Source organism: Homo sapiens, chromosome 9 (genome assembly GCF_000001405.40).
Source record: "Homo sapiens chromosome 9, GRCh38.p14 Primary Assembly".
NCBI lineage: Eukaryota > Metazoa > Chordata > Mammalia > Primates > Hominidae > Homo > Homo sapiens.
In genome coordinates, this window is record NC_000009.12 from 85,049,837 (window position 1) to 85,059,302 (window position 9,466).

General features: G+C 41.5%; 1 annotated feature.

Moving 5' to 3' along the window:
* Window positions 6,574-6,623: an enhancer, noted in NCBI's record as "active region_28511". NCBI's record gives its function as "activates an Ori minimal core promoter by ATAC-STARR-seq in GM12878 lymphoblastoid cells {active_cell/tissue: GM12878}" and the evidence as "EXISTENCE:reporter gene assay evidence [ECO:0000049][PMID:35858748]".

The following is a 9,466-nucleotide window of genomic DNA, read 5'->3' on the forward strand; positions in this document are numbered from 1 at the left end:
ATAGGTGCCTGCCACTGTGCCCAGCTAAATTTTGTATTTTTAGTAGAGATGGGGTTTCACTGTGTTGGCTAGGCTGGTATCAAACTCCTGACCTCAAGTGATCCACCTGTCTTGGCCTCCCAAAGTGCTGGGATTAGAGGCAGGAGGCACTGCACTGGCCTCCACATGGCCTTTCTTCCCAGAACTTTACCTGTAATACCACAGGGTCTCTCAGGATTTATGACCCAAATATCAGGGCTGTTTGCACTGCACCATAGAGCTTCCGCAAAGTCCTTTCCTGATATGGGTATTTGAAGTTGACAGGCCTTCAGGTTACCCAGAGCAGCAGTAGACCCTAGGGTAGCCCCAATATTTGCACTCTGTTTAATCTTTTCCGCTTCAGTGTGATCAGGACCTATGACTTGCCTCTAAAACCAATAGATTACAGAAAATGTGGTGAGATGTAATTTCTTATCATTCATCTTTGATTTTTTTTATTTTTTATTTTTTTGAGACAGAATTTCACTCTTGTTGCCCAGGCTAGAGTGCAATGGCACGATCTCAGCTCATCGCAACCTCCGCCTCCCAGATTCAAGCAATTCTCCTGCCTCAGCCTCCCCAGTAGCTGGGATTACAGGTGACTGCCACCATGCAAATTTTTTGTATTTTTAGTAGAGACAGGGTTTCACTATCTTGGCCAGGCTGGTCTTGAACTCCTGACCTCATGATCCACCTGCCTTAGTCTCCCAAAGTGCTGGGATTATAGGCGTGAGCCACTGTGCCTGGCCCATCTTTGATATTTTTAATGATGCAGACTGAGTTGTATCCTTACTGATGTTTCATCTGTTTTACCCGATGAGTATGCTGTGTTTTGTTAATCATCTCCCGAACTTTCTACAGGTAAGGGCTTACTGGCTTCTGATGGCTAACATGCCCACTTTTCCTTTATTATTTTGGGGTCCTATCATCTCCAAGGCTATTCATGAGCCTAATTCTGTTATGGTGTTCACTACTGTCATCTCTGGCTCACAGAGGACAACCACTACTAAGACTAGTGCATCCCTCTCTCCAGTGTATGGTTTGGGAGTTTGCCGATCTTTGGAATTGGGCTATTGTGGAGAATAAGCCCTAAGCCTGGTTCTTACTGTTCTCTGCCTTTCCTCCACTCACAGGACATTAGAATTTCTTAGTAAAATAGCAAGGAGGTTCTATGGTTTTCATATGAAGTATTCAGTTGGAAATTAGTACTCTCAGCCTCTCCTTATCTTTTTCCAGAGTTTTAGTTTAGCAATAGCCACCAAGGTACATTGTCTTATATTTGATACTTTCCCCCAAATTTCTATCTGTCTCTCTCTTTTTTTTTTTCTTTGAGATGGAGTTTCGTTCTTGTTGCCCAGGTTGGAGTGCAGTGGTACAATCTCGGCTCACTGCAACCTCCACCTCCCAGGTTCAAGCAATTCTCCAGCCTCAGCCTCCCGAGTAGTTGGGATTACAGGTACACACCACCACACCGGGCTAATTTTTGTATTTTTAGTAGAGATGGGATTTCTCCATGTTGGCCAGGCTCATCTCAAACTCCTGACCTCAAGTGATCCACCTGCCTTGGCCTCCCAAAGTGCTGGGATTACAGGCATGAACCACAGCACCTGACCCCCACATTTCTCAAAGTCCTCATAGAGCTTATCAGATAACATCATCCACAACCACATTCATCATCAATAAACTTTTTAACAATTTTCTGGCCATGTTGCGCCAGGAGTTGTGTGGACTCCTACTGTGACTAGTTGTGGTCTTCATTGTTAGTAAGAAGAGAATGACCCAGCTCTAAACCCCCTAGCACCTGCTTTCCCACACCATGCTTGTCACCAGCTATTATAGAGATCAGCATGCAGGCTATTTACAAGGACGTGTTTGGGGCCAACGGCTGGGGAAGGGAAGATAAAGAAGCAATTTGGTCAGAGGGTGAGGTCAAGCTACCTACAGGCCCCGAAACAGTCTCAGCCAATCCCAACAGAAACTTGAAGCTGTGGTGGCTTTTCATGGTTGCCTTGAGTTGGCCTGAGGTTGTCAGGCTTTTATATTGCCACCAATTTTATATTAGTCAGACATGAATGTGGACCACCACAGGCAGAGATATGACTTTGGGTGACCTCAGATGAGGACCACCTACATGAAGGTGCTGCCAGCTATCTGTCCTCAGTGTTCCCAGCAAGTAGGGCAAGAATTCTTTCATTGAAAGGATACTTGTGTTACATAACACAATATCCATCACAGTAATTAGTGAATTTCATTTCTCTCCTTCTGTCATCTGAAAAAACAGATATAGTAAGAGAAATATACACAGCTCCTACTTGACATACTGGAAATTCTGGGCAGTGGAGGAAGATAGACTATTATAATGAAAACGTGCAGAATCCAGGATCAGCCTCATGTATAGGTAAATTAGGTAATGTCTTCTATGTTTTGAGTGATTCAGAAAAGCTTTATGCCTTAAAATCTCTATTCTACTTAGTTTTAATCTATTTCCATTGTCCTCTCTTCCCATATATATATATATTTTTTCTTTCTTTTTTTTTTTTTTTTTTGAGACAGAGTCTCGCTCAGTCACCCAGGCTAGAGTGCAGTCTCGTGATCTCAGCTCACTGCAAGCTCCGCCTCCCGGGTTCACGCCATTCTCCTGCCTCAGCCTCCCGGGTAGCTGGGACTACAGGCGCCTGCCACCACGCCCGGCTAATTTTTTTGTATTTTTAGTAGAGATGTGGTTTCACTGTGTTAGCCAGGATGGTCTCGATCTCCTGACCTCATGATCCGCCAGTCTCGGCTTCCCATAGTGCTGGGATTACAGGCGTGAGCCACCGCACCCGGCCCTCTCTTCCCATATTCTAAGAAAAAAAAGTAGTTATAAAACTTAGTACATGTAGTAATCAAAGGCAAAGTGTCCCAGCAAAGTTCTTGATGCTGAAGACCATTTTCCCCAGGAAAGGAAGCCTAAAAGCTAAAATAATAGCCAGATTAGGATGCTTACAATCTGTTTTAGAAATATCCTCAAAGAAAACCTAAAGGGATAAGACAATTAAAGTGCCCCCCTGCACACAAGTTGAAGTTGGGTGGTGGGTGGGGGTCAGGATTTTGTCTCCTAAACCAAGAAATGTGAGTATGCACAGAATGTAGACTCTGAGGTATCCCTCCTGTATGCGTGTTCACATCCAGAGGGACTGTGGCACCAGCTAGTGAAGATATGGACACTGCCCACCTTCAAAGGAGATGGGAAGACATTGGGAAGGAGTGAATTTGTTCCAGCTCACTGCTGCTGCAAAAATATGCCCAGCTCTTATGAGTTACTGTGTTTATTTTGTGTGTCCTGCTCCAATTTCATTATGATTTTTGTTTTTCTCATTATCTGTCTAAAATTCTGTGATTTGAGGCAGACACTCAGCCTCTGAGAGACAGAGGTTTGCTCTTAAGATAGGGAGGCCCCCAAGACTTTGATTCCCTGTTTGTTTATTTTCCTCGGGTGAGCAGATATGAAAAATACCTGCCACCATGAGTCAGAAGTTAGAGCCAGGACAGCAGGTCAGATGGCAGAAACACAGGCAGAGGGAGGAGAGTGTGAGGTATGTAAAGTTATAGTCCCTTTTTCTGTTTACTCTTTTTATACATTTCAACCTTTTAACACTTAAACTTTCCCCAGCATTCTTATTTCTGTGACTAACTCTTTACTTGCCCTTAGTTTACTCATACATATGGTAAATGACTGCTGAAGGTCGACCAGATGTTTGACTTCACTTACTCTCTCTTTGGGAAAACAATTGAATGAAATCCCAGCTACTCATTCTCCTGCAGGCAGGGGTATGCAGTGATCTCTTCTGAAAATGAAAAGATGAACATGCTTATTGTGTGGCTGGAGGCTCTGGAAGCATAAAGACACTTTCTGCTCCACCATGTTGAGAACATAAGGAATTAATTGTACACCTTGCTGAGGGGTAAAAAGGCACATTGTATATTCCAAGTATCAAGATCCTTCTTTTAGGATTAGAATATGTAGCTGACATGGAGAAAATACTTTCAAGATGTTGTGGAAAAAAATAATCCTCAAGACTCCAGCTCTTTACAACCTGATATTATTCATCACCTGCATAGTTTCATATCTCTGTGGGGTAGGAGTGTTTATTGTTTCTCAGAGACCATAACCCAGATATCCCTTCCAATCCATAATCAAACATGAGTTCTCCTGAAAGATACAGAAATAACGCAGGGGAGAAGACATGCGAACTCTTCCCAAGAGTTTCAAAACACTTCCAGATATGAGAGCATTCAAGAACAATTTCCTCCTTGGAGATTTCCAGGCTTCTATCAGAAGGACAGGCACATGGCTTTGCATTTCATATTCACACTGGATCCCAGTGTGAGTCAAGCACATAGTCTGGCCTTCTCTGCCCGTGTGTGCAGAGGCATTCAGACAAACCATGGGGAAGGACCATGTAGAGGAACGGACAGGACATCTGCAGTCACAGTGGGTTCCTACCCCTGCCTGACTCTTACCTAGTTGTGTGCTCTCTCTGAGCCTCAGTTTCCTCCTTTGTAAAATGGGGTTGGCAATTCCAAATGGCTATTCTGATCATTAAATGAGAATAATGGTGACAAATTCCCTGCACAACAGAGACACTTAATAAATACATGAGTAGTTAGATCCATAAGGGCAGCACTCTTGTTGATCCTCAGCACTTTCCTCAGTGCCTGGTATAGAGTAGATGCTCAAAAATATATGTGGGATAAATGATTCATATTCTTTCCAATTTCCCATCACAGTCACTCTATGAACTAGGTAAGTGCCCCATTTCCTGTCAAAGAAGGACTGCATTGACCTATCAGGAGAAGCTATAGTGGAGCCTCAGTTTCTAGATTTATGTATTCTTATTCCATTTGTGGAAATATAAATGGACACAATCACTTTGTAGAACAATTTGGAAAACAAGTCTAGCAAAGTTGAACATGTGCGTACACCTTGAGCCTCAGCACTTCCATTTCTAGGGAAATATACAAAGAATGTACAAAGTATATACAAACTATACAAAGTATGTACAAAGAATACACCTTTGTATATAAAGCTACGTTTACAAAAATATTCGTGTTAGTAGTAGCAAACACTGAAAAAACAACCTACATATGAAGTAACTGGAGAATATACATACTCTGAATATTCTCAATGTGATATTTTACAAAAGAAAATTAATAAAAAAGAACTTTAGATGCCAGCATGTATTATTCTCATGTGAATAATTTTGGGCAAAAAATTCATTTATAAAAGAATATACATATGGTTGTATACATATAGTTTAAAACATGCATAACAGTCATATATATTGCTTAGGGATACAAACATAAATAATTGAAGTCTGAAAAATGCAAGGAAGAATGAGCACTATATTCAGAATCATGGTTACCTCTGAGATGAGGAAGGGGGGTAATTAGGCAAGAAGATGCAGGGAAGTCTAACAGAGGGAAGTCTTGGTAACATGTGGTGTGTTAGGAAGGTGGTGGGAAACACAAAGGTATTTATGTGGATTTTATTTAATATATATTAAAAATAAAAAATACATGTATGAAAAGAATCTTCTCATCCTTTCTCCTCTGCTAAGAGTTAGAGGAATCCTACAGAGTTTGCCCACCTCTCCATTCTAAAGATAGATAACCCAAGGCCCAAAGGACTGAATAATTCACTTAAAGCTACACTGTCAGATAGTGAAAGAACTGAGATTAGAATCCAGATTTTCCAGGTCCTGGGCCAGAGGTTTTCACACTGCTCTTTTAAACTGCATTTGGTCCAGTTCCCTTTTCCTCCTTATAGGAAGGAAACTGAACATAGGTGTGAGCAGAGGCATCAGAAGGGTTCAGGCATCACAGGTGAACCACACAGGAGGCACAGAGAAAGGATGCCCTGAAGCCAGGCAGACAGAATGTTTTTGAGTCATTGTTTAAGCAGTTTCTCTAAAGCCTCCACTTTTCTTGCCTTAGAAAGATTGTGAGGTATTCCTAGAAAAGATCATGTGGACTTGCTTAAATTTTTACCCCTGATCTCTGGAAAACTAGGACCAAAAATGCTAAATCTGGGTTTCACCATCAAAACATTCAGACTTCTGGGGACTTTTAAGTTTATGTCCTCAAAACTCTCAAAGTAGGAGAATTCACAGTTAAAGGTTTCAGTTTCAGGAGTTCATGAAAATAGCAACATGTGGCAAAAAGTTTGTGAATAAAGAAATGAAGCCCCCACGTGTAACTCTCATGTACAAAATGTAAGAAAAAAATGGCACTCAAAGTAAAAGAAATGTCAATACCACTTTACCTATCTTATTAAATACTCATATATACTCGACAATGAATTTCCACCCTACACTTTTAAATTCTTCCTCCCACTAAGTTTCAAGCAGATCAGGTCAATTCAGTTGCTTTGTTACTGATGACAAGTTCACAGGGCTATTTGTGGCTATTCCTCCTTTTGTATGTGACAAGGTCTTGCTGGTTTTTTAACCCAACATTTTGAATGCACACTTTTCTGTCCTATGTTTACTCTAGAGAGACAGTTACTTGGCTGCTTGAGATACAAAAAGTTGGGAGATCCCCTATTGCGTCAATCCTCCCTCTATCTAGGGGACTTTCTGAACCTACTTCCCGAATCCATGAGGTATATAGATGTGGCTCTGTCATGGCCACACTGTTCCACAGCTCAGGGCACCTTCTTGACCCGGCTCCATACTCCTAATCCTCCCTTAACCACAAAGAGGATTCAGCCCAAGGCCGGGTCACCTGACTCCATTTTCCCTTATTTCGCCTCATACTCTTGCTAAAAATTTCTACATCATTTCGACGTGGTCTTTCTGAAAGCCTTTATGTCACTTTGCTATTTCCTCCTTTAACAAGTATTCCCAGGTGGATCAATGCCCACTTGGAGTTTCTTCAGAAAACTTTTCTAGAAAAGATTCATTTCTGTTAGGATTTTGCTCAAGAAAATTTTACAGGTGGGGCCTATTTACTGGGTCTACTTCTCAGTCCACAGCATGTCTACCAAGCCACATAAATGTGACCACACCTTCAAGGGCCACCATATGCCTGTGGATGGAACAATGGATGAGGGAGCTCTGGCATTATTTTTCAACCTCAAGTGGAATTCATACCTTTCCCCCTTCTTGTTCTTTTTAAGCTGGGGGTCATGCTAGTTGCACCTTGTTTCTTTGCTACAATACGTTGATGTGTCTTGCTTCCTTTCAACATTTGTATAGATCTTTGAGGAGAAGAGCATGTCATGTTGTAAGAGAGGATGAGGCAGAACTTGTGAATCTGAGTGAAGCCCACCAGGTTGCACAGGGAGGTGGGCAGCATGGGAGGGCAGGACCTCTGGTGCCATGGGCAGTACTTATGGTTGAGATACATCAATGCCTTTCCAAGAAGGGAAAGCAAGATGAGGGAAAGGCATTCAGATCTGCTCTCTTTGCATTTCCACATGCACAACTCTGACCCCAGTGGTGGAGCAAGGCCAGGCTTACCTGGAGCAAGGCCTAGATGATGGCCATTGGATGGAACTTCACGTCCACCAGAGGCCTCAACCATCATTTCGATGTCATCCCTGGACAAAGTTATACAGAGTCCCAAAGAAGCACAAGGGAGATTGAAAGGAGACACTCATCATACAACTCTGATCTTAAATTTTGTTCTCAGACTTCATATTTCTTTCTGTGATAAATCAATACTTTCGATAAATTATTAAAAGTTTTTCTGAATAGCATAATTGCCTGATCACATTATAACTTCTATTTATGAATTAAATATGTAAAATACACTTCCATTTTTATAATCCCGTTTTTTCCTATTTCTTCATTATTAAATATACCTTAGATATATACAGTTTACATGTTTCAAACATACTTAAATTTTATTGAAATATACCTGTATTCTAAACATGGGTCCTGACAGATGTGCCCTGGTTTCTTTCTCGCTGTCAGAATGGCTGAACATGCTGAAGGACAGGCGAGAGGCAACTGGGTATTCTGGGTTCTACCTTTTAGTTTTGAATTTTTCTTCCAAGAGGTTAAAATATAAGATTGCAGAACTCACAAAAATGAGTCAGTGGTGGTGATTCTTTGGTTTTCTGAACATAATCACATTTACTTCATTTGCTTTTTAACAGCAATAAAGAAGACACAACATAAATCATAAAAGTTGGCCTGGGCCTTGCTGGCAGAAAACACAGAACCTAAGAAAAATGGTCCATCACAAATAAGAAAAACACCAAAGACCAAACAGCAGCACTGGAAAAAAAGAAAGGGGCAGGGGAAGGAAGGAGGGGGAGAGGAAAGAAGGAAGGAAGGAGGGAACGAAGGGAGGGAGGAGTTCTTGCATTGCCTTGAACATGACTAGTCTCCTGTTTGCTAGAGGCATAAACTTGCCTTGATTCTAGGTGAGAGCCTTGCCAGACATCACCTTAGGAAGAGGATGAGGAGGAGGAAAGTTAAATTTTAAATTCACAGTTTGGCGACCCCAAAGAGACTGTGCTAAACTTGGGAGGGCAAGTGCCTCATTCACAGGAAGCAACTGAGGTATCGAAAAATCCATTAATTGGCAAGTTTAAGTTCCTTGCTCTCTGGAGGTTTGAGGATTCAGAAGTATTGAATTGTTCAATTGCTTACAGGAATTATGCATACCTCAGTAACAATACTTAAAAGTTCACCCTTGGCCAGATATGGTGGCTCATGCCTGTAATCTCAGCACTTTGGGAAGCCAAAAGCAGAGGGATCAAGTAAGACCAGGAGTTCAAGACCAGCCTGGGCAACATTAGTGAGACCGTTGTCTCTTTAAAAAAAAAAAAATCAAAAAATGAATTGAGCACAGTGGTGCATGCCTGTAGTTCTAGCTACTTGGGAGGCTGAGGCAAGAGGATCACTTGAGTCCAGAAGTTCGAGGTTGCAGTAAGGAGCTATGATTGTACTACTGCACTCTAGCCTGGGCAACAGAGCAAAACCCTGTCCTTCTCTATTATTATTATTAAAATAATAATAATAATAATAATAATAAAACATTTACCCTATTTCATGCTTACATGCAGACCCGTTTTAGCTTTTACCTTGTAAAAATGGGATTCTACCCATACACCTTGCTCTCCATGTTGCCCTAAAGAATCTGCCCAGTAACCAGTTCTTGTCACTTTCATCACTTGCCTTATGTTGGTGTGAAGGAAATCAGATGTCACTAATAGGAGGGAGGGGTCCCAGGCACCTCTAAAATGAATAACAAGGTCCTTCCAGAAGGAGAATATTCCTGTAGAAATTCTAGTTATTGTTGCAATTAACCCAGTGAATGAGGATTTGTTTATTGAATGCAGCACAGGGCAACTGCATGATGAATTGTCAGGAAAGACGTCCAAACTTCTTTAACTTTCATTGTTTGCACTGAAACATGGAATTAATATGGCTGATTTGAAGGGGAAGAGACATCT